The sequence below is a fragment of the Homo sapiens genome, chromosome 17 (genome assembly GCF_000001405.40).
Source record: "Homo sapiens chromosome 17, GRCh38.p14 Primary Assembly".
NCBI classification, from domain to species: Eukaryota; Metazoa; Chordata; class Mammalia; order Primates; family Hominidae; genus Homo; species Homo sapiens.
Genome location: NC_000017.11, coordinates 27,023,513 through 27,048,606, shown reverse-complemented (window position 1 = coordinate 27,048,606; position 25,094 = coordinate 27,023,513). Strand labels below are relative to the sequence as shown.

The window sequence follows — 25,094 nt, the reverse complement described above, 5'->3', positions numbered from 1 at the left end:
TCAATATCCTTGCTGACAGTTAATGTTTTCTGTGTATGTGTTGAATATTTATAGTGTTTGAAATTCATTTGAGGGTCTTTATTGTTACCAAAATATTACAAAAAGTTTTTCAAATACAGCCATATGCTGTAATAATAAATAATCTTACTTGTTTCTTGATGCTTGTGATCTATTTTCTCGGTAAGAAGAGAAACTTCTCTCCACCCAGCCTCAGTCCACTGCACCCACCCTTTGCTGTATCAGGATGTGCAGGGGAGAGAGGGAGCTTGGCAGCTCTGTCCTGCCTTGGTCTGTGATAGTCCATCACTGGGTTGTAAAGCATCTCTCCTCCTCCTCCTTCTTGAGAGAAATTTCACTGATTCTGAGTGCCATCTGCATTTCTTTTGGGTGTTTATATTAACCCAATTTTATTGAAATAACACTAGATAGAAAGTTAGGGGATAGATTCTCTATCCGATGAGAGTTTTGGGCAAATCATGTAGTTTTTGAGTCTTGTTTTTTTTCTTAGGCAAGAAAACAGTAAATTAGGCAGCCAGTGGGAGATCCTCAGAGCTCTGAATGTGGGTCTGGAACACCATATTTCTACCACTCACTTTCTTATTGCTTGTCTTGCACAAAGATCATGGCCCAAGTAACAATGTCCGCCCTGGCCGTTGAAGATGAGGAGTCCTCAGCAGGATGGTGGTGACATTCCTCATGTCAGCTCTTGAGTCCATGGTGAGACCTTCTATTCTGACATTCCATAGTTGGGTAGAACTGGACTGTAGTTAAGGTTGATTTGTTTTTGTAGAAGATATAATTGTACGTATTTTTTTGGTTTTAAGGAGTAGTTTTTTTTTCTTGAATAGCAGTTATGCCTTTCAAATCACATTTTATTACCATGCTTCAGAATGTTTAATTTTTACATTGAATGTCAAATAATTTTCTACCATTATTTTAGGCAATCATTTGTTTTGCAAGTGTTTTGAAATTATGTATAATATTTGTGGTTACTCAGAATGAGTTTGTATCCTAGAGTATGGTGCTGGAGTTTTATTGTATCTATATGTAGAAGACTCCCAGAATTCGGGGTCATTAAGGCATCTTTACTATTGTGTATGTATATTTCTTCTGCTTACACATTCACTATTGCACTAACCACCTCTTTCTAAATTGTTTAGTGTTAGCTGTTTATTTTATTTTATTTGACAGAGTCTCACTCTGTCACCCAGGGTGGAGTGCAGTGGTGCGATCCTAGCTCACTGCAACCTCCGCTTCCCAGGATCAAGTGATTCTCATGACAGCCTTTCTAGTAGCTGGGGCTGCAGATGTGTGCCACCACACTCAGCTAATTTTTGTATTTTTTTGCTAAAGATGGGGTTTCACAATGTTGGTGAGGCTTGTCTTCAACTGCTGAGCTCAAGTGATCTGTCTGCCTTGGACTCCCAAATTGCTGGGATTGCAGGTGAGAGCCACCGCACCTGGCCAGCTCTTTAAAAAAAAAAAGCCTATCATATGCATAATTATAGTGAAATATTGAGTACCAATTATGTAGTTTTGTATTTTTATATTACTATCATGGTATTTATATAATTATTTTCTATTTTTATGGGTATGTAGCTGGAAATAGTACTTATTATAAAAAGTATCAGGCTTAGGTATTTTCTATTTTTTATTTACCTTTTTTTTTTGGAGAAAGGGTCTTACCCTTTTGTCCAGATTGGAATGCAGTTGTGTAATCATGGCTCACTGCAGCCTGGACATCCTGGGTCCAAGTGGTCTTCCCACCTCCGCCTTGGAGTAGCTGGGAGTGTATGCATGTACTACCACGTCTGGCTACTTTGTTTCGCTTTTTAGTGGAGATGAAATCTTAATATATTGCCCAGGCTGGTCTCTCTTTTTTTTTTTTTTTTTTTTTTTTTGAGATGGAGTCTCACTCTGTTGCCCAGGCTGGAGTGCAGTGGCATGATCTTGGCTCACTGCAAGCTCCACCTCCTGGGTTCATGCCATTCTCCTGCTTCAGCCTCCCGAGTAGCTGGGACTACAGGGGCCCACCACCATGCCCGGCTAATTTTTTTTTGTATTTTTAGTAGAGACGGGGTTTCACAGTGTTAGCCAGGATGGTCTCGATCTCCTGACCTCGTGATCCACCCACCTTGGCCTCCCAAAGTGCTGAGATTACAGGTGTGAGCTACCATGCCTGGCCGACAATAAAATAATTTTTGAAAATATTGATCTCTGCAAAGAGTACCATAGGACCACGTAAGACCCATTCACTTCCTTAGAATTTCTTTATAGTTCTTTCATGTTTGGCATAGTCATTTCACTATTCTCAGCCTTTATTTCTTCCTTCCCAGCATTAGTAAGACCATTTCTCCTTCTATTCCTAGTTGTATATAACACAGTATAATTAAAGGTGTAGAAACTGCTGAGTTCTTCACTGGCTTGTCAGAGTGCTAAGCAGATCCAGGCTGACTTTGTCCCTTCCTTGGCTGGTAGACTTCTTTAATCTATGGATAGTACATGAATCTTGCTTACTCTTTCATAACCATTGCCTTTGTTGACAGGATTGTTTTAGAGTGTGGATAGTGAAGCAAGAATGTACGCTCATTTACTCAAGGTAAGTAAATAATAGTTCCTTATAGGAGAGTAGCCACATCACAAGTCAAGTAAGTGCAATGGAAGGAAATTACCAAGGCCCATCAAGCTTCACGCTGGGGTAGCTCTCGGCCCACCTCCAGGTCAGAAGTTCTCTACCATGACTTTATTATAACTCAAAAGATTTCGATCACCTCACCAGTTGCTAAATTAGTTACTGAAGATAACATTTTAAAGCAATATTATGCAGAAATAATCTCCAGTTAAGAAATTAGAGGGAGATTATTGTACAAATCAAAAATAAATAGTGGAAAGCTTATGGTTTTCAACAAATGATACTGAGAAAATAGGCTATTTGGTAAAAAATAAAAATTTTGGTAAAAACAAGCTTCAAGGATGAAGGCAAAAGATGGCCGAATAGGAACAGCTCCGGTCTACACCTCACAGCGTGAGTGATTTCTGCATTTCCATCTGAGCTACCGGGTTCATCTCACTAGGGAGTGCCAGACAGTGGGTGCAGGTCATTGGGTGCACGCACCGTGTGCGAGCCGAAGCAGGGCAAGGCATTGTCTCACTTGGGAAGTGCAAGGGGTCAGGGAGTTCCCTTTCAGAGTCAAAGAAAGGGGTGACGGACGCACCTGGAAAATCGGGTCACTCCCACCCGAATACTGCACTTTTCCGACTGGCTTAAAAAACGGCACACCACGAGATTATATCCTGCACCTGTCTGGGAAGGTCCTACGCCCACGGAGTCTCACTGATTGCTAGCACAGCAGTCTGAGATCAAACTGCAAGGCGGCAGCGAGGCTGGGGGAGGGGAGCCATTGCCCAGGCTTGCTTAGGTAAACAAAGCAGCCCGGAAGCTCCAACTGGGTGGAGCCCACCACAGCTCAAGGAGGCCTGCCTGCCTCTGTAGGCTCCACCTCTGGGAGCAGGGCACAGACAAACAAAAAGACAGCAGTAACCTCTGCAGACTTAAATGTCCCTGTCTGACAGCTTTGAAGAGAGCAGTGGTTCTCCCAGCACGCAGCTGGAGATCTGAGAATGGGGAAACTGCCTCCTTAAGTGGGTCCCTGACCCCTGACCCTTGAGCAGCCTAACTGGGAGGCACCCCCCAGCAGGGGCACACTGACACCTCACACGGCAGGGTATTCCAACAGACATGTAGCTGAGGGTCCTGTCTGTTAGAAAGAAAACTAACTAACAGAAAGGACATCCACACCAAAAACCCATCTGTACATCACCATCATCAAAGACCAAAAGTAGATAAAACCACAAAGATGGGGAAAAAACAGAACAGAAAAACTGGAAACTCTAAAACACAGAGCGCCTCTCCTCCTCCAAAGGAACACAGTTCCTCACCAGCAACGGAATAAAGCTGGATGGAGAATGACTTTGACGAGCTGAGAGAAGAAGGCTTCAGACGATCAAATTACTCTGAGCTACAGGAGGACATTCAAACCAAAGGCAAAGAAGTTGAAAACTTTGAAAAAAATTTAGAAGAATGTATAAGAAGATGGAGCTGAAAACCAAGGCTCGAGAACTACATGAAGAATGCAGAAGCCTCAGGAGCCGATGTGATCAACTGGAAGAAAGGGTATCAGCAATGGAAGATGAAATGAATGAAATGAAGCAAGAAGGGAAGTTTAGAGAAAAAAGAATAAAAAGAAATGAGCAAAGCCTCCAAGAAATATGGGACTATGTGAAAAGACCAAATCTATGTCTGACTGGGGTACCTGAAAGTGATGGGGAGAATGGAACCAAGTTGGAAAACACTCTGCAGGATATTATCCAGGAGAACTTCCCCAATCTAGCAAGGCAGGCCAACGTTCAGATTCAGGAAATACAGAGAACGCCACAAAGATACTCCTCAAGAAGAGCAACTCTAAGACACATAATTGTCAGATTCACCAAAGTTGAAATGAAGGAAAAAATGTTAAGGGCAGCCAGAGAGAAAGGTCCGGTTACCCACAAAGGGAAGCCCATCAGACTAACAGCGGATCTCTCAGCAGAAACTCTACAAGCCAGAAGAGAGTGGGGGCCAATATTCAACATTCTTAAAGAAAAGAATTTTCAACCCAGAATTTCATATCCAGCCAAACTAAGCTTCATAAGTGAAGGAGAAATAAAATACTTTACAGACAAGCAAATGCTGAGAGATTTTGTCACCAGCAGGCCTGCCCTAAAAGAGCTCCTGAAGGAAGCACTAAACATGGAAAGGAACAACCGGTACCAGTCACTGCAAAATCATGCCAAAATGTAAAGACCATCGAGACTAGGAAGAAACTGCATCAACTAACGAGCAAAATAACCAGCTAACATCATAATGACAGGATCAAATTCACACGTAACAATATTAACTTTAAATGTAAATGGACTAAATGCTCCAATTAAAAGACACAGACTGGCAAATTGGATAAAGAGTCAAGACCTATCAGTGTGCCGAATTCAGGAAACCCATCTCACGTGCAGAGACACACATAGGCTCTGAATAAAAGGATGGAGGAAGATCTACCAAGCAAATGGAAAACAAAAAAAGGCAGGGGTTGCAATCCTAGTCTCTGATAAAACAGACTTTAAACCAACAAAGATCAAAAGAGACAAAGAAGGCCATTACATAATGGTAAAGGGATCAATTCAACTAGAAGAGCTAACTATCCTAAATATATATGCACCCAATACAGGAGCACCCAGATTCATAAAGCAAGTGCTTAGTGACTTACAAAGAGACTTAGATTCCCACACATTAATAATGGGAGACTTTAACACCCAACTGTCAACATTAGACAGATCAACGAGACAGAAAGTCAACAAGGATACCCAGGAATTGAACTCAGCTCTGCACCAAGCAGACCTAATAGACATCTACAGAACTCTCCACCCCAAATCAACAGAATACAAATTTTTTTCAGCACCACACCACACCTATTCCAAAATTGACCACATACTTGGAAGTAAAGCTCTCCTCAGCAAATGTAAAAGAACAGAGATTATAACAAACTATCTCTCAGACCACAGTGCAATCAAACTAGAACTCAGGATTAAGACTCTCACTCAAAACCGCTCAACTACATGGAAACTGAACAACCTGCTCCTGAATGACTACTGGGTAAATAACGAAATAAAGGCAGAAATAAAGATGTTCTTTGAAACCAAGGAGAACAAAGACACAACATACCAGAATCTCTGGGATGAATTCAAAGCAGTGTGTAGAGGGAAATTTATAGCACTAAATGCCCACAAGAGAAAGCAGGAAAGATCCAAAATTGACACCCTAACATCACAATTAAAAGAACTAGAAGAGCAAGAGCAAACACATTCAAAAGCTAGCAGAAGGCAAGAAATAACTAAAATCAGAGCAGAACTGAAGGAAATAGAGACACAAAAAAACCCTTCAAAAAATTAATGAATCCAGGAGCTGGTTTTTTGAAAGGATCAACAAGATTGATAGACCGCTAGAAAGACTAATAAAGAAAAAGAGAAGAATCAAATAGATGCAATAAAAAATGATAATGGGGATATCACCACCGATCCCACAGAAATACAAACTACCATCAGAGAATACTACAAACACCTCTATGCAAATAAACTAGAAAATCTAGAAGAAATGGATAAATTCCTCGACACATACACTCTCCCAAGACTAAACCAGGGAGAAGTTGAATCTCTGAATAGACCAATAACAGGATCTGAAATTGTGGCAATAATCAATAGCTTACCAACCAAAAAGAGTCCAGGACCAGATGGATTCACAGCCGAATTCTATCAGAGGTACAAGGAGGAACTGGTACCATTCCTTCTGAAACTATTCCAATCAATAGAAAAAAAGGGAATCCTCCCTAACTAATTTTATGAGGCCAGCATCATCCTGATACCAAAGCCGGGCAGAGACACAACCAAAAAAGAGAATTTTAGACCAATATCCTTGATGAACATTGATGCAAAAATCTTCAATAAAATACTGGCAAAACGAATCCAGCAGCACATCAAAAAGCTTATCCACCATGATCAAGTGGGCTTCATCCCTGGGTTGCAAGGCTGGTTCAATATATGCAAATCAATAAATGTAATCCAGCATATAAACAGAGCCAAAGACAAAAACCACGATTATCTCAATAGATGCAGAAAAAGCCTTTGACAAAATTCAACAACCTTCATGCTAAAAACTCTCAATAAATTTGGTGTTGATGGGACATATCTCAAAATCATAAGAGCTATCTATGACAAACCCACAGCCAATATCATACTGAATGGGCAAAAACTGGAAGCATTCCCTTTTAAAACTGGCACAAGACAGGGATGCCCTCTCTCACCACTCCTATTCAACACAGTGTTGGAAGTTCTGGCCAGGGCAATCAGGCAAGAGAAGGAAATAAAGGGTATTCAATTAGGAAAAGAGGAAGTCAAATTGTCCCTGTTTGCAGATGACATGATTGTATATCTAGAAAACCCCATTGTCTCAGCCCAAAATCTCCTTAAGCTGATAAGCAACTTCAGCAAAGTCTCAGGATACAAAATCAATGTACAAAAATCACAAGCATTCTTAAACACCAACAACAGACAAACAGAGAGCCAAATCATGAGTGAACTCCCATGCACAATTGCTTCATAGAGAATAAAATACTTAGGAATCCAACTTACAAGGGATGTGAAGGACCTCTTCAAGGAGAACTACAAACCACTGCTCAAGGAAATAAAAGAGGATACAAACAAATGGAAGAACATTCCATGCTCATGGGTAGGAAGAATCAATATCGTGAAAATGGCCATACTGCCCAAGGTAATTTACAGATTCAATGCCATCCCCATCAAGCTACCAATGCCTTTTTTCACAGAGTTGGAAAAAACTACTTTAAAGTTCATATGGAACCAAAAAAGATCCCGCATCGCCAAGTCAATCCTAAGCCAAAGGAACAAAGCTGGAGGCATCACACTACCTGACTTCAAACTATACTACAAGGCTACAGTAACCAAAACTGCCTGGTACTGGTACCAAAACAGAGATATAGATCAATGGAACAGAACAGAGCCCTCAGAAATAGTGCCGCATATCTACAACCATCTGATCTTTGACAAACCTGACAAAAACAAGCAATGGGGAAAGGATTCTCTATTTAATAAATGGTGCTGTGAAAACTGGCTAGCCATATGTAGAAAGCTGAAACTGGATCCCTTCCTTACACCTTATACAAAAATCAATTCAAGATTGATTAAAGACTTAAACATTAGACCTAAAACCATAAAAACCCTAGAAGAAAACCTAGACATTACCATTCAGGACATAGGCATGGGCAAGGACTTCATGTCTAAAACACCAAAAGCAATGGTAACAAAAGCCAAAATTGACAAATGGGATCTCATTAAACTAAAGAGCTTCTGCACAGCAAAAGAAACTACCATCAGAGTGAACAGGCAACCTACAAAATGGGAGAATATTTTCACAACCTACTCATCTGACACAGGGCTAATATCCAGAATCTACAATGAACTCAAACAAATTTACAAGAAAAAAACAAACAACCCCATCAAAAAGTGGGCAAAGGACATGAACAGGCACTTCTCAAAAGAAGACATTTATGCAGCCAAAAAACACATGAAAAAATGCTCATCATCACTGGCCATCAGAGAAATGCAAATCAAAACCACAATGAGATACCATCTTACACCAGTTAGAATGGCCATCATTAAAAAGTCAGGAAACAACAGGTGCTGGAGAGGATGTGGAGAAATAGGAACACTTTTACACTGTTGGTGGGACTGTAAACTAGTTCAACCATTGTGGAAGTCAGTGTGGTGATTCCTCAGGGATCTAGAACTAGAAATACCATTTGACCTAGCCATCCCATTACTGGGTATATACCCAATGGACTATAAATCAGGCTGCTATAAAGACACATGCACACATATGTTTATTGCGGCATTATTCACAATAGCAAAGACTTGGAACCAACCCAAATGTCCAACAATGATAGACTGGATTAAGAAAGTGTGGCACATATACACCATGGAATACTATGCAGCCATAAAAAATGATGAGTTCATGTCTTTGTAGGGACGTGGATGAAATTGGAAATCATCATTCTCAGTAAACTATCGCAAGAACAAAAAACCAAACACCGCATATTCTCACTCATAGGTGGGAATTGAACAATGAGATCACATGGACACAGGAAGGGGAATATCTCACTCTGGGGACTGTGGTGGGGTGGGGGGAGTGGGGAGGGATAGCATTGGGAGATACACCTAATTCTAGATGACGAGTTAGTGGGTGCAGCGCACCAGCATGGCACATGTATACATATGTAACTAACCTGCACAATGTGCACATGTACCCTAAAACTTAAAGTATAAAAAAAAAAAGCTTCAACGTATAGTCTTCGTCATGTGATGAGTTAAATTATAGATAAGCAAAAATAGTTATACTAAGACAAATTTTAAAACCAAAACAAAATATATGTAATTATTATATAATTATTTAATTCCGTAAATGGCTTTTCTATGCCTAAAATAAGTGATGTAATTTTATGGGTTAGTCAGATATACACTAACACATTTGAAAAATAGGCAAAGGATATGGTAATTGGCAGAAAATTATGCTACGATACTCTTTAATTTTAACACCAATCAGTGGAGTATTTTAATGAGTCTAAGATACCCTTTTTCAAGGTTTCTGGAAAAGTCACATGGTAACATTTGCTAGGATATTATGAACCTTATTAGAAAGCAAATTTCAGTAGATTTTGAGTATTTGGAGTATTGACTCTCAATGGTGGTTTTTCTTGACTTTCATGTCTTTTTTGAGAAAATCATTGAATATGTACATAAATATTTTCTTCCCAGGTTATTACGGTAGTGTTATTTTTAAGAGGGAAAATTGGAATCACTGACCTTTGAAATAATGTAAGCACTAAAGGAATTATGGTGTATCCATGAAATGGAGTACTACGTACTCTATAATGTTTTTAAAGAATATTGACTCTCAGAGAAATATACTTAGTGAAATTCAGTAAATAATCATCTAAATGTGATTCTGGCTATGTGTAGATGGGGAGGAGGATTTCTGGAGGAGGGGATTATGTACTGAATGCTATAGTGTGGGTTTCATCTGGGTTTCAGCAGATGGCGCTAAGTTCCCCAGCTGCTGTGAGTGTTCGAGTCACCTTGTCCACCTTTTCCCTGGGGAGGACCACACTGGCTTCTGAGCTGTTGGTGCAGCTGCATCCCTGTTCAGCACTTTGCCTGTTCATCCATGCCTGCCTCCCACCTCCTGGGTGCTGTTATTGACAGTGCTCCCCAGCAAGCCTGTGTGAAATCTCAGTCTCTTTCTTGGAGAATCTGACCAATAATAGATTATAAGGGATTTCTGCATTTTTTTTCTTATAAATTTTGTGCTGTCTTTTTTTTAAAATCAGGCAAAAATCTATTTAGAAAGAGTAGTAACTTTAAAAAATGGTGTTAGGTTTTTTTTTTTTTTTTTTTTTTTTTTTGAGACAGAGTCCTGCACTGTCACCCAGGCTGGAGTGCATTGGCACAATTTCTACTCATTGCAACCTCTGCCTCCCAGGTTCAAGTGATTCTCCTGCCTCAGCCTCCCAAGTAGCTGGGATTACAGGCGTGAGCTACCACACCCAGCCTTTTATTTATTTATTTATTATTAGTATTATTATTATTTTTGCATTTTTAGTAGAGACAGGGTTTCACTATGTTGGCCAGCCTGGTCTCAAACTGCTGACCTCATGATCTTCCCACCTTGGCCTCCGAAAGTGCTGGGACTACAGGCGTGAGGCGCTGTGCTCAGCCTTGTGCTAGATTTTTTTTCATTCACCTAGCAGAAATGGTGATTTTAAATATCTGCCTTTAACATAATATTTGCTGTGCTTATTGTAGTTGAAAGAACTGGCCAAGTTTAAGGCCAAAGGGGCCTGCATCACTGAGTATAAAGCAGATGTCTTTGCCTTCGGAACTGAAGGACAGAGGACACAATTTTTTCAATACCAGAAAGGATTTTCAAACAGATTTTGTAAAATATTGCAAGCATTGTGTTTTTATCATTTTTATTTCATTGATTTTCAACCTAAATATTTATAGATAAGACTAGTCATATTTTCTTCTAAAGCAGAATGAGGTTTAAACTATAAAAAAAAATTTTTTTTTTTGAGATGGAATCTCATTCTGTTGTCTAGGCTGGAGTGCAGTGGCAAGGTCTCGGCTCACACAACCTCTGCTTCCTGAGTTCAAGCAAATCCCCTGTCTCAGCCTCCTGAGTAGCTGGGGTTACAGGCACGTGGCACCACGCCCAGCTAATTTTTTTTTGGTTTGTATTTTTAGTAGAGATGGGGTTTCACCATGTTGGTCAAGCTGGTATTGAACTCCTGACTTCAAATGATCCACTCGGCCTCCCAAAGTGCTGGGATTACAGGTGTGAGCCACTGTGCACGGCCTAAACTATGAATGATTTTCTGAAATGTTTATGCAGACATTTCAAAATGCTCAAAAGGAATCACCGAAGTCGTAATATGTCACGGTGGATACTGAAGAGTTAAGAACAATGGCAAGTGTTGATTGTATGGGGCTCCTTGCTTGGCTTCACTCTGGATTAATGAGATGCATTAGAGAGAAGGTAATGAAGGGAGAGAATTTTTGAATAGTTCTTAGTCAGATAAGGAATTCTAGATAAAGTTGGTGAACTGCAAACAAGAAATTCACTGTGCAGAGAAGTTTGTTTAAGCATGATGCAGAATTAAACAGTTCTCCTCAACTCGCTCAGTGGAATCACCTTATCTGAATCTTCAGTGGGTTTTGCAATCCTTGTTTAGAGCAGTGAGCTTATCTGACATTGGAACAGAGTATTAAAATTTACTATAGGGTGTTAATACTTATGGCCTTTTCACAGTATGACAACTTTCATATCTGTGTGTAACCTAACACTATCGATAGGTTTCATGTTAACTGAGGGAAACACTGAAAGGGAACAAAAAAGGCAGGGCGTCTATAGGCACAGAATACATCCAGGCATAACTCAACTTTTTTGAGCCCTGCAGATACTGCAGTTTTTACAAATTGAAGATTCGTGGCAATCTTGTGTCAAGCAAGTCCGTTGTGCCATTTTTCCAACAGCATGTGCTCTCTTTGGTTGTCTGTGTCACATTTGGTTACTCTTAGAATATTTCAAACTTTTTCATGATTATTATATGTGCTGTGGTGACCTGAGATCAGTGAGCTTTGATGTTACTGTTGTAATTGTTTTGGACTCCATGAACACACCTGTGTAAGATGGCAAACCTCATTGGTAAATGTTGTCTGCTCTGACTGCTCCACCAATGAGGAGGTTTCCCATTGCTTCCTCTCCTAAGGCCTCCCTAGTCCCTGAGACACAATATTGAAGTGAGACCAGTTAATAGCCCTCCAGTGGCCTCTAATTGTTCATGTAAAAGAAGGAGTTGCAGTCAGTTCACTTTAAATCAAGTTAAAAATGAAGAAGCTTAGTGAGGAAGACATGTTGGCAGTTGAAAGCTAGGCCAAACAGTTGGCCAGGTGGTGAATGCACAGGAAAAGTTATCGAAGGAAATGAGAAGTGCTGCTCCAGTGAACCCACAAATGATAAAAAAGCAAAACAGCCTTGTTGCTGATACCGAGAAACTTTGGTCTGAATAGAAGATCAAATGGGCCATAACATTCCTGTAAGTCAAAGCTTAATCCAGAACAAGGCCCTAACTCTCTTCAGTTCTGTGATGGCTGAGAGGAGGTGAGTAAGCTACAAAAGAAAAGCTGAAAGCTAGCTGAGGTTGGCTCATGAGGTTTAAAGAAAGACACAGTCTCTATAATATAAAAGTGCAAGGTGAAGCAGCAAGTGCTTGATGTAAGAACTGTGAGTTCTTCAGAAGATCTCGCTGAGATAATTCATGAAGATGGCTACACTCAAAAAACAGATTATTAATGTAGACAAAACAGCCTTATATTGGAAGATGCCATCTAGGACTTTGCTAGCTAGAGAGAATTCCATTACTGGCTTCAAAGCTTCAAAGGACAGGCTGAGACTCTTGTTAGAGGCTAATGCAGCTGGTGACTTTAATAGAAGCCAATGCTCATTTACCATTCCAAAAATTCTAGGGCCCTTAAGAGCTACGCTAAATCTGCTCTGCATGTGTTCTATCAACAGAAGAATAAAGCCTGGATGACAGCACATCTCTTTATAGCATTGTTCACTGAATTTTTTTATTATTATTACACTTTAAGTTTTAGGGTACATGTGCACAACGTGTAGGTCTGTTACATACGTATACATGTGCCATGTTGGTGTGCTGCACCCATTAACTCATCATTTAACATTAGGTATCTATCTTCTAATGCTATCCCTCCCTGTTTGTTTTGTTAATGCTATCCTGTTTGTTTTTTTCTTGTAAATTTGTTTGAGTTCATTGTAGATTCTGGATATTAGCTCTTTGTCAAATGAGTAGATTGCAAAAACTTCCTTCCATTCTGTAGGTTGCCTGTTCACTCTGATGGTAGTTTCTTTTGCTGTGCAGAAGCTCTTTAGTTTAATTAGATCCCATTTGTCAATTTTGGCTTTTGTTGCCATTGCTTTTGGTGTTTTAGACATGAAGTCCTTGCCCGTGCCTATGTCCTGAATGGTATTGCCTAGGTTTTCTTCTAGGGTTTTTATGGTTTTAGGTCTAACGTTTAAGTCTTTAATCAATCTTGAATTAATTTTTGTATAAGATGTAAGGAAGGGATCCAGTTTCAGCTTTCTACATATGGCTAGTCAGTTTTCCCAGCACCATTTATTAAATATGGAATCCTTTCCCTATTTCTTGTTTTTGTCAGGTTTGTCAAAGATCAGATAGTTGTAGATATGTGGCATTATTTCTGAGGGCTCTACCTGTTCCATTGGTCTATATCTCTGTTTTGGTACCAGTTTTGGTTACTGTAGCCTTGTAGTATAGTTTGAAGTCAGGTAGTTTGATGCCTCCAGCTTTGTTCTTTTGGCTTAGGATTGACTTGGTGATGCAGGCTCTTTTTTGGTTCCATATGAACTTTAAAGTAGTTTTTTCCAATTCTGTGAAGAAAGTCATTGGTACCTTGATGGGGATGGCATTGAATCTATAAATTACCTTGGGCAGTATGGCCATTTCCACGATATTGATTCTTCCTACCCATGAGCATGGAACGTTCTTCCATTTCTTTTTTTTTTTTTTTAATTTTTTTTTATTGATAATTCTTGGGTGTTTCTCACAGAGGGGGATTTGGCAGGGTCATGGGACAATAGTGGAGGGAAGGTCAGCAGATAAACAAGTGAACAAAGGTCTCTGGTTTTCCTAGGCAGAGGACCCTGCGGCCTTCCGCAGTGTTTGTGTCCCTGATTACTTGAGATTAGGGATTGGTGATGACTCTTAACGAGCATGCTGCCTTCAAGCATCTGTTTAACAAAGCAAATCTTGCACCGCCCTTAATCCATTTAACCCTGAGTGGACACAGCACATGTTTCAGAGAGCACCGGGTTGGGGGTAAGGTCACAGATCAACAGGATCCCAAGGCAGAAGAATTTATCTTAGTGCAGAACAAAATGAAAAGTCTCCCATGTCTACTTCTTTCTACACAGACACGGCAACCGTCCGATTTCTCAATCTTTTCCCCACCTTTCCCGCCTTTCTATTCCACAAAGCCGCCATTGTCATCCTGGCCCATTCTCAATGAGCTGTTGGGCACACCTCCCAGACGGGGTGGTGGCCAGGCAGAGGGGCTCCTCACTTCCCAGTAGGGGCGGCCGGGCAGAGGCGCCCCTCACCTCCCGGACGGGGTGGCTGGCCAGGCAGGGGGCTGACCCCCCCACCTCCCTCCCGGACGGGGCGGCTGGCTGGGCAGAGGGGCTCCTCACTTCCCAGTAGGGGCGGCCGGGCAGAGGCGCCCCTCACCTCCCGGACGGGGCAGCTGGCCGGGCAGGGGGGCTGACCCCCCCCCACCTCCCTCCCGGACGGGGCGGCTGGCCGGGCGGGGGGCTGACCCCCCCCACCTCCCTCCCGGATGGGGTGGCTGCTGGGCGGAGACGCTCCTCACTTCCCAGATGGGGTGGCTGCCGGGCGGAGAGGCTCCTCACTTCTCAGACGGGGCAGCTGCCGGGCGGAGGGGCTCCTCACTTCTCAGACAGGGTGGTTGCCAGGCAGAGGGTCTCCTCACTTCTCAGACGGGGCGGCCGGGCAGAGATGCTCCTCACCTCCCAGACGGGGTCACGGCCGGGCAGAGGCGCTCCTCACATCCCAGATGGGGCGGCGGGGCAGAGGTGCTCCCCACATCTCAGACGATGGGCGGCCGGGCAGAGACGCTCCTCACTTCCTAGATGTGATGGCGGCTGGGAAGAGGCGCTCCTCACTTCCTAGATGGGATGGCGGCCGGGCGAAGATGCTCCTCACTTTCCAGACTGGGCAGCCAGGCAGAGGGGCTCCTCACATCCCAGACAATGGGCGGCCAGGCAGAGACACTCCTCACTTCCCAGACGGGGTGGCGGCCGGGCAGAGGCTGCAATCTCGGCACTTTGGGAGGCCAAGGCAGGCGGCTGGGAGGTGTAGGTTGTAGCGAGCCGAGATCACTCCACTGCACTCCAGCCTGGGCACCATTGAGCACTGAGTGAACGAGACTCCGTCTGCAATCCCGGCACCTCGGGAGGCTGAGGCTGGCGGATCACTCATGGTTAGGGGCTGGAGACCGGCCCGGCCAACACAGCGAAACCCTGTCTCCACCAAAACCAGTCAGGTGTGGCAGCACGTGCCTGCGCACTCGGCAGGCTGAGGCAGGAGAATCAGGCAGGGAGGTTGCAGTGAGCCGAGATGGCAGCAGTACAGTCCAGCTTCGGCTCCGCATGAGAGGGAGACCGTGGGGAGACAGAGAGGGAGAGGGAGAGGGAGAGGGAGAGGGAGAGGGAGAGGGAGAGGGAGAGGCTCTTCCATTTCTTTGTATCCTCTTTTATTTCCTTGAGGAGTGGTTTGTAGTTCTCCTTGAAGAGGTCCTTCACGTCCCTTGTAAGTTGGATTCCTAGGTATTTTATTCTCTTTGAAGCAATTGTGCATGGGAGTTCACTCATGATTTGGCTCTCTGTCTGTTATTGGTATATAAGAATGCTTGTGATTTTTGCACATTGATTTTATATTCTGAGACTTTGCTGAAGTTGCTTATCAGCTTGAGATTTTGGGCTGAGACAATAGGGTTTTCTAGATATACAATCATGTCATCTGCAAACAGGGACAATTTGACTTCCTCTTTTCCTAATTGAATGCCCTTTATTTCTTTCTCCTGCCTGATTGCCCTGGCCAGAACTTCCAGCACTATGTTGAATAGGAGTGGTGAGAGAGGGCATCCCTGTCTTGTGCCAGTTTTCAAAGGGAATGCTTCCAGTTTTTGCCCATTTAGTATGATATTGGCTGTGGGTTTGTCATAAATAGCATATTATTTTGAGATACGTCCCATCAGTACCTAATTTACTGAGATTTTTTAGCATGAAGGGCTGTTGAATTTTGTCAAAGGCCTTTTCTGCATTTATTGAGAGAATCGTGGTTTTTGTCTTTGGTTCTGTTTATATGCTGGATTACATTTATTGATTTGTGTATGTTGAACCAGCCTTGCATCACAGGGGTGAAGCCCACTTGATGATGGGTGGATAAGCTTTTTGATGTGCTGCTGGATTCGGTTTGCCAGTATTTTATTGAGGATTTTTGCATCGATGTTCATCAGGGGTATTGGTCTAAAATTCTCTTTTGTTGTTGTGTCTCTGCCAGGCTTTGGTATCAGGATGATGCTGGCCTCATAAAATGAGTTAAGGAGGATTCCCTCTTTTTCTATTGATTGGAATAGTTTCAGAAGGAATGGTACCAGCTCCTCCTTGTACCTCTGGTAGAATTCAGCTGTGAATCCGTCTGGTCCTGGACTTTTTTTGGTTGGTAAGCTATTAATTATTGCCTCAATTTCAGAGTCTGTTATTGGTCTATTCAGAAATTCAACTTCTTCCTGGTTTAGTCTTGGGACGGTGTATGTGTTGAGGAATTTATCCATTTCTTCCAGATTTTCTAGTTTATTTGCGTAGAGGTGTTTACAATATTCTCTGATGGTAGTTTGCATTTCTGTGGGATTGGTGGTGATATCCCCTTTATCATTTTTTATTGCGTCTATTTGATTCTTCTCTCTTTTCTTCTTTATTAGTCTTGCTAGCGGTCTATCAATTTTGTTGATCCTTTCAAAAAACCAGCTCCTGGATTCATTGATTTTTTGAAGGGTTTTTTGTGTCTTTATTTCCTTCAGTTCTGCTCTGATCTTAGTTATTTCTTGCCTTCTGCTAGCTTTTGAATTTGTTTGCTCTTGCTTCTGTAGTTCTTTTAATTGTGATGTTAGGGTGTCAATTTTAGATCTTTCCTGCTTTCTCTTGTGGGCATTTAGTGCTATAAATTTCCCTCTACACACTGCTTTGAATGCGTCCCAGAAATTCTGGTATGTTGTGTCTTTGTTCTCGTTGGTTTCAAAGAACATCTTTATTTCTGCCTTCATTTCGTTATGTACCCTGTAGTCATTCAGGAGCAGGTTTTTCAGTTTCCATGAAATTGAGCAGTTTTGAGTGAGATTCTTAATCCTGAGTTCTAGTTTGTTTGTGCTGTGGTCTGAGAGACAGTTTGTTATAATTTCTGTTCTTTTACGTTTGCTTAGGAGTGCTTTACTTCCAACTATGTGGTCAATTTTGGAATAGGGGTGGTGTGGTGCTGAAAAGAATATATATTCTGTTGATTTGGGGTGGAGAGTTCTATAGATGTCTATTAGGTCCACTTGGTGCAGAGCTGAGTTCAATTGCTGGGTATCCTTGTTAACTTTCTGTCTCGTTGATCTGTCTAATGTTGACAGTGGTGTGTTAAAATCTCCCATTATTGTTGTGTGGGAGTCTAAGTCTCTTTGTAGGTCTCTAAGGAACTGCTTGATCAATCTGGGTGCTCCTGTATTGGGTGCATATATATTTAGGATAGTTAGCTCTTCTCGTTAAATTGTTAGCCCTTTGCCATTATGTAATGGCCTTCTTTGTCTCTTTTGATCTTTGTTGGTTTAAAGTCTGTTTTATCAGAGACTAGGATTGCAACCCCTGCCCTTTTTTGTTTTCCATTTGCTTGGTAGATCTTCCTCCATCCCTTTATTTTGAGCTATGTGTGTCTCTGCACATGAGACGGGTTTCCTGAATACAGCACACTGATGGGTCTTGACTCTTTATCCAATTTGCCAGTCTGTGTCTTTTAATTGGAGTATTTAGCTCATTTACATTTAAAGTTAATATTGTTATGTGTGAGTCTGGTCCTGTCATGGTGATGTTAGCTGGTTATTTTGCTCGTTAGTTGAGGCAGTCTCTTCCTAGCCTCGATGGTCTTTACAATTTGGCATGTTTTTGCAGTGGCTTGTACCAGTTGTTCCTTTCCATGTTTAGTGCTTCCTTCAGGAGCTCTTTTAGGGCAGACCTGGTGCTGACAAAATCAGCATTTGGTTGTCCGTAAAGTATTTTATTTCCCCTTCACTTATGAAGCTTAGTTTGGCTGAATATGAAATTCTGGCTTGAAAATTCTTTTCTTTAAGAATGTTGAATATTGGCCCCCACTCTCTTCTGACTTGTAGAGTTTCTGTGGAGAGATCAGCTGTTAGTCTGACGGGCTTCCCTTTGTGGGTAACCCGACCTTTCTCTCTGGCTGCCTTTAACATTTTTTCCTTCATTTCAACTTTGGTGAATCTGACAATTATGTGTCTTGGAGTTGCTCTTGTTGAGGAGTATCTTTGTGGCATTCTCTGTATTTCCTGAATTTGAATGTTGGCCTGCCTTGCTAGACTGGGGAAGTTCTCCTGGATAATATCCTGCAGAGTGTTTTCCAACTTGGTTCCATTCTCTCTGTCGCTTTCAGGTACAACAGTCAGACGTAGATTTGGTCTTTTCACATAGTCCCATATTTCTTGGAGGCTTTGTTCATTTCTTTTTATTCTTTTTTCTCTAAATTTCTCTTCTTGCTTCATTTCATTCATTTGATCTTTCATCACTGATACCCTTTCTTCCAGTTGATTGAATCGTCTACTGAGGCTTCTGCATTCGTCACGTAGTTCTTGTGCCGTGGTTTTCAACTCCATCAGGTCCTTTAAGGACTTCTCTGCATTGGTTATTCTAGTTAGCCATTCGTCTAATCTTTTTTTCAAGGTTTTTAACTTTTTTGCCATGGGTTCGAACTTCCTCCTTTAGCTTGGACAGTAGTTTGATCGTCTGAAGCCTTCTTCTCTCTACTCATCAAAGTCATTCTCCATCCAGCTTTGAGCCATTGCTGGTGAGGAGCTGTGTTCCTTTGGAGGAGGTGAGGCACTCTGATTTTTAGACTTTTCAGGTTTTCTGTTCTTTTTTTCCCCCATGTTTGTGGTTTTATCTACTTTTGGTCTTTCATGATGGTGATGTACAAATGGGGTTTTGGTGTGGATGTCATTTCTGTTTGTTTGTTTTCCTTCTAACAGTCAGGACCCTCAGCTGCAGGTCTGTTGGAGTTTGCCAGAGGCCCACTCCAGACCCTGTTTGCCTGGGTATCAGCAGCGGAGGCTGCAGAACAGCAGATATTGGTGAACAGCAAATGTTGCTGCCTGATTGTACCTCTGGAAGTTTTGTCTCAGAGGAGTACCCAGCTGTGTGAGGTGTCAGTCTGCCCCTACTTGGGGGTGCCTCCCAGTTAGGCTACTTGGGGGTCAGGGACCCACTTGAGGAGGCAGTCTGTCCGTTCTCAGATCTCAAGCTGCATGTTGGGAGAACTACTACTCTCTTCAAAGCTGTCAGACAGGGACATTTAAGTCTGCAGAGGTTTCTGCTGCCTTTTGTTTGGCTATGCCCTGCCCCCAGAGTTGGAGTCTAACAGAGGCAGGAAGGCCTCCTTGAGCTGCAGTGGGCTCCACCCAGTTTGAGCTTCCCTGACACTTTGCTTACCTACTCAAGCCTCAGCAATGGCAGGCACCCCTCCCCCAGCCTCACTGCCGCCTTGCAGTTTGATCTCAGATTGCTGTGCTAGCAATGAGTGAGGCTCCGTAGTTGTAGGACCCTCTGAGCAAGGCGTGGGATATAATTTCCTGGTGTGCCGTTTGCGAAGACCATCTGAAAAGCACATTATTAGGGTGGGAGTGACCCGATTTTCTAGGTGCCATCTGTCCTTGGCTAGGAAAGGGAATTCCCGGACCCCTTGTGCTTCCCGGGTGAGGTAATGCCTCACCCTGCTTCAGCTCAGGCTCAGTGTACTGCACCTACTGTCCTGCACCCACTGCCCAACAATCCGTGGTGAGATGAACCCAGTACTTCAGTTGGAAATGCAGAAATCACTCATCATCTGCGTCACTCATGCTGGGAGCTGTAGATTGGAGCTGTTCCTATTCAGCCATCTTGGCTCCATGCCTGTTCACTGAATATTTTAAGCCTAGTTTTGAGACCAACTGCCCAGAAAAAAAGTTCCTTTCAAAATATTACTGCTCATTAGCACTGCACCCAGTCACTCTGAGAGCCCTGATGGATGTGTACAAGGAGATGAATGTCATTTTCATGCCTGCTTATGCAACATCCATTCTGCAGCCCATGGATCTAGGAGTAATTTCAAGTCTTATGATTTTTATTTTTTTCTTTTTTGAGAAGGTCACCTCACTGTTGCTCAGACTTGAATGTAACGGCACAATCACAGCTCACTGCAGCCTCAATCTTCTCAGGATCAGGTGATCCTCCCACTTCGGCCTGCTGAATAGCTGGGACCACAGGTGTTGCACCAGCATACCCAGCTAATTTTTGTGGGTTTTTTTTTTTGTTAGAGATGTTAAATTTCCATGTTGCCTAAGCTGGTTTCAAACTTCTGCACTCAAGCAATCTGCCCACCTTGGCCTTCTTCAGTGTTTGAGATTAGAGATGTGAGCCAATGCACTCAGCCTTCAAGTTTTATTCTCTAAGAAATATATTTTATAGGCTGGGTGCAATGTCTCATACCTGTAATCCCAGCAATTTGGGAGGCTGAGGCAGGCAGATTACAAGGTCAGGAGATCGAGACCAGCCTGGTAAACATGGTGAAACTCTGTCTCTACTAAAAACACGAAAGTTAGCTGAGTGTGGTGGTGTGTACCTGTAATCCCAGCTACTCAGGTTTCTGAAGCAGAATTGCTTGAACCAGGGAGTCGGAGGTTCCAGTGAGCTGAGATTGCACCACTGCACTCCAATCTGACAACAGAGCAAGACTCCATCTGAAAAAAAGAAAGAAATACATTTTGTAAGGCCACAGCTGCCAGAGAGTGATTCCTCTGATGGATCTGGGCAAAGTAAATTAAAAACCTTCTGGAAAAGGTTTACTGTTCTAGGTGCCATTAACATTTGTGATTAATTGGGAGAGAACAAAATATCATTTACAGGACTGTGGAAGATGTTGATTCCATCTCTCATAGGTGACTTTAAAGGGTACAAGATTTTAGTGGAGGAAGGAACTGCAGATGTAGTGGAAACAGCAAGTGAACTAGAACTAGAAGTGGAGCCTGTTGGCTGGGCACAGCAGCTCTTAATTCCTATTCAGAGTAGTATTTTTAGTTTCTTAAAAAAACTATCTTTGCCACTGTATGCCTATAATCCCAGCACTTTGGGGAGGCCAAGGCAGGTGGATCACCTGAGGTCGGGAGTTTGAGACCAGGCTGACCAACATGGAGAAAGCCCATCTCTACTAAAAATACAATATTAGCTGGGCATGGTGGTGCATGCCTGTAATCCCAGCTACTTGTGAGGCTGGGGTGGGAGAATCGCTTGAACCCAGGGGGCGGAGGTTGCAGTGAGCCAAGATACTGTCATTGCATTCCAGCCTGGGCAGCAAGAGTGAAACTCTGTCTGCCCCGCCTCCCCCCAAAAAAGGAAGTGGAGCCTGTGGATGGGACTGAACTGCTGCAATTTCATGATCAAATGTGAACAGATAAGGAGTTCTTTCTTACAATGTGCAAAGAAACGGGTCTCTGAAATGGAGTCTACTCCTGGTGAAGATGTCGTGAATATTGTTGAAATGACAAAAGATTTAAAATATTCCATAAATTTACTTCATAAAGCCATGGCAGGCTTTTGGAGGATTGATTCTGATTTGGAAAGAAGTTCCACTGTGTGTAAAATGCTATCCAATAGCATCATACCTCCTAGAGATCTTTTGTGAAAGAAAGATTCAAGATAACTTTCAAATGCATTGGGAAACAAAGACATTTGTGTGACTTCACTTTATACTTCCATGATTGTGGTGGTCTGGAATTGAACCTACAGTACCTCCCACAGATGTCTGTATGCCACTAAGGTTTAAACCTAAATTTCTGTTGTCAGATTAGATTCAATTCATGATAAATTGTGCAGATTACCAGTGAATTAAAAATTTTGCTAATTCACTATTCCTATTCGGAGTAGTATTTTTAGTTTCTTAAAAAAAACTATCCTCACCACTGTATCCCTCCCCTCACCACCTGTGTTATAATCTTCCAAGCTTTATGGTAGTAACTTATTTTTTAAATTTTGCCAATATTATAATTTTGAGAAATGTTAAGTCCTTGATTGTATGTTTCTTTATACTAATAACGCTGTTTTGATTGTGTGTGTATCACCTGCCCTCTGATCCACAAATACCACAGTCTTGCAGGCAGCTATGTTTTTCTCCCCTTCCTGTGCTCCATGGCTTACATGGTTCTCCAGTGATTGCAACTAAACATTAGGGGAGTTGTCCTCAGTTGTGAGTTGTAGCCAATGCCTATTGGTATTTGTAGTTTGTTTACATTGTTACTAATTTGATACCATGAAGAATGGTTTTTGTAACTAATTCTCAAGTACCTTTTATTTGTTTGCAATAGCGTTCTTCTGAAACATAATCAATAGGTTCATGAGGAAGTTGTAGAAATTCTTCAGGAGAATTCTGAGCCCTTTTCTGGGATTTAAAGAAAAGTGCTATTGAATAGAACTAAATATAATGTGAGTCATTCACATGATGTAAAACTTTCTAGTTATAATATTAAAAATATAGAGAAACAAGTGAAAATCATTTTAGTGGCAATACTTTAAAATATTTCAATATGTAATCAATATAGAAATTATTAATGGGATATTTGGAATACTTTTTGTGCTGAGTTTTCAAAAGTTAATGTGTATTGTTCACTTACAGAACATCTGAATTTGGACTGGCCACATTTCAAGTGTCACATGTGTCTATTGGTTATTGTGCTAGACTTTGTAAGCCTAGAATTTGTTTCCTGATAATAATCTTCCCATATTTAAGTTTATAACCAATAAATTACTCTTATTTTAGGTTTTTATTTTAAAACCTTCCTTTAAAAAATCTTCCCGCCTTTTTGTTTGTTTTTTTGAGACAGGGTCATTTTCTGTGACCCAGATTGGAGTGTAGTAGTGTAATTATAGCTCATCATAACCTTAAATTTCTGGACTCAAGCAATCCTCTTGCTTCAGCCTCCAGGGTAGCTAGGACTACAGATATGCACCACCACACCTAATTTTATTTATCTTTTTTGTAGGGATGGGTTGTTTCTGTGTTGTCAAGCTAGTCTTGAAATCCTGGGCTCAAGTAATTCTGCCTCAGCATCCCAAAGTGGTGGGATTATAAGTGTGAGCCACCTCACTTGACCTATTTTTTGTTTGTATAACAGATCACAAATATTGGTATACAGGAAAAACTATTTTTACTAAAAACCAAATAAATATTAAGATAATAGGTATGCACATTTTTATTATTTTTTACAGGTGTTGAAGAAGAAGAAAAGGTTGCAGAGATGCATTAAATAAAGTCTACAACCCAGGTGAGTCAGATGAGTGTAGATGCTGTAGAAGTGGCAACACTCAGAAAAAACAGTTGAGGACTATTTCTGCTTTTGCTATCTTAAAAGCGATACACTTAAATTTTATAAAAGAAACATGATATAATAGAGTTTTCTAAAGGGTAGACTATGTTACGCCATTGACTTAACAGTATTATAACACACATTTTCACAAACTGAATGGATGAGGAATAACCTTACTTTCCACTTCCATTTAGAAGGAACTCAAGAAATATGCCAGGGTAGGACCATCTTAAAGACAATAATGCAAGAAATCAGACATTTCTCTCTCCTTTTGTGTAGTTTTTGAAGTCATATATTTAATATACTTTTCATTTTGGCCCTTTGGATAGGTGTCAGGTTTAGAACTTCTTACATGCGAATAGGGTGCTATGGTATTAAGTAATTTTAAAATCACATATTACAAAAGATCACGTATGCCTTTATTAAGCCACAATAAGGTAGTGATGATTTTGTTTTTTAATCTTACAATTTAATGACATTTATCTGCTTTTCACCTCTCCCAGGGAAAGCTTTACAAAAACCCACAGAGGTAACTGTACCATATGAGAAGATGCTACAAGACCAGTCAGCTTTGATAGTACAGGGGCTTCCAGAAGGTGTTGCCTTTAAACACCCTGAGAATTACTATCTTGCAACCCTGAAATGGATTTTGGAGAACACAGCCGGGATTTCATTCATTATTAAGAGGTGAGGAGCTTTCTTCCTTCGTGCCCATCAAAGGTTTATTCATATAAATTTGAATATTCAGCTTATGTTAATATATTTTAAAAATTCTTGGATAACACAATTCATTTAAATTTATGCTGTCATTAATTTTGTGTATTCATGTGTAGTTTTGTTAGTTTTGTTTTACTGCAGATCTCTCTTAGAGCCAAAGAAGCATCTAGATTAGTGATTGCTTTGCTTCCTTGATAGCTGGCTGGCTTCCTAATCCCATTTTGCTAGATTTTAATACACTTTAATGGTTTCTCTTTTATTTTCTTTGAGAATATGATGTAAGACATTTTCAGATGGGTTGCTTAGATATTTATATAATCCAAGAAAAGTTGATTGAGCTGAAAAAGTAGAGACTTGTTTTTTGTTTTCAGATCAGCTACTTGTTTTCTGTGTAAGATCATAGATCTGCCCCCACTTCAAGCATTATGAGTAGGATTAACTGACCTGATGTCACTGAATAGGCATGGCATTTTTGGACACAGCTTTGGGTGGGGAGGGGATACACAACTGTGTATAAGCATTATGGCTCTGGAGTGCTCGGAGTCTCATGGAACAGAGAAAAGTTTGTAAAATGATGATGGCAAGAGCCTCACATCTCTGCTGTAAGAATGGTTCAGAGAAAGTGCTGCGAATGTTCATTAGGGGTTGGATTCCTTTGTAGTTCAGGAAGAATTTCATGAGGGAGAGGACATTTATATGAGCCGTTGGGGAATGAGAAGGATTTCAACTTCCTTTAGGGAAGTTTAGCCATTTCATTTGAAGAGAAAAAATGATAAAGAGTGGTACCCTTTGGAGCCAATATTTTTTTTAGACTTTTGAAAAGAAATAACCAATATAATTGGAATACTCTTTACAATGTAGGGATAAAAGGGAAAATAATACATACATGAACACATACATTTTGTTTTCTGTTAATCTTTGTTTTATTCTCA

At 41.3% G+C, this 25,094-nt stretch overlaps 1 pseudogene; it reads left to right on the top strand.

Moving 5' to 3' along the window:
• Window positions 1–622: 622 nt before the first annotated feature.
• Window positions 623–24,337, top strand: GTF2IP6 (general transcription factor IIi pseudogene 6; annotated as a pseudogene).
• The last annotated feature ends 757 nt before the right edge of the window (window positions 24,338–25,094 follow it).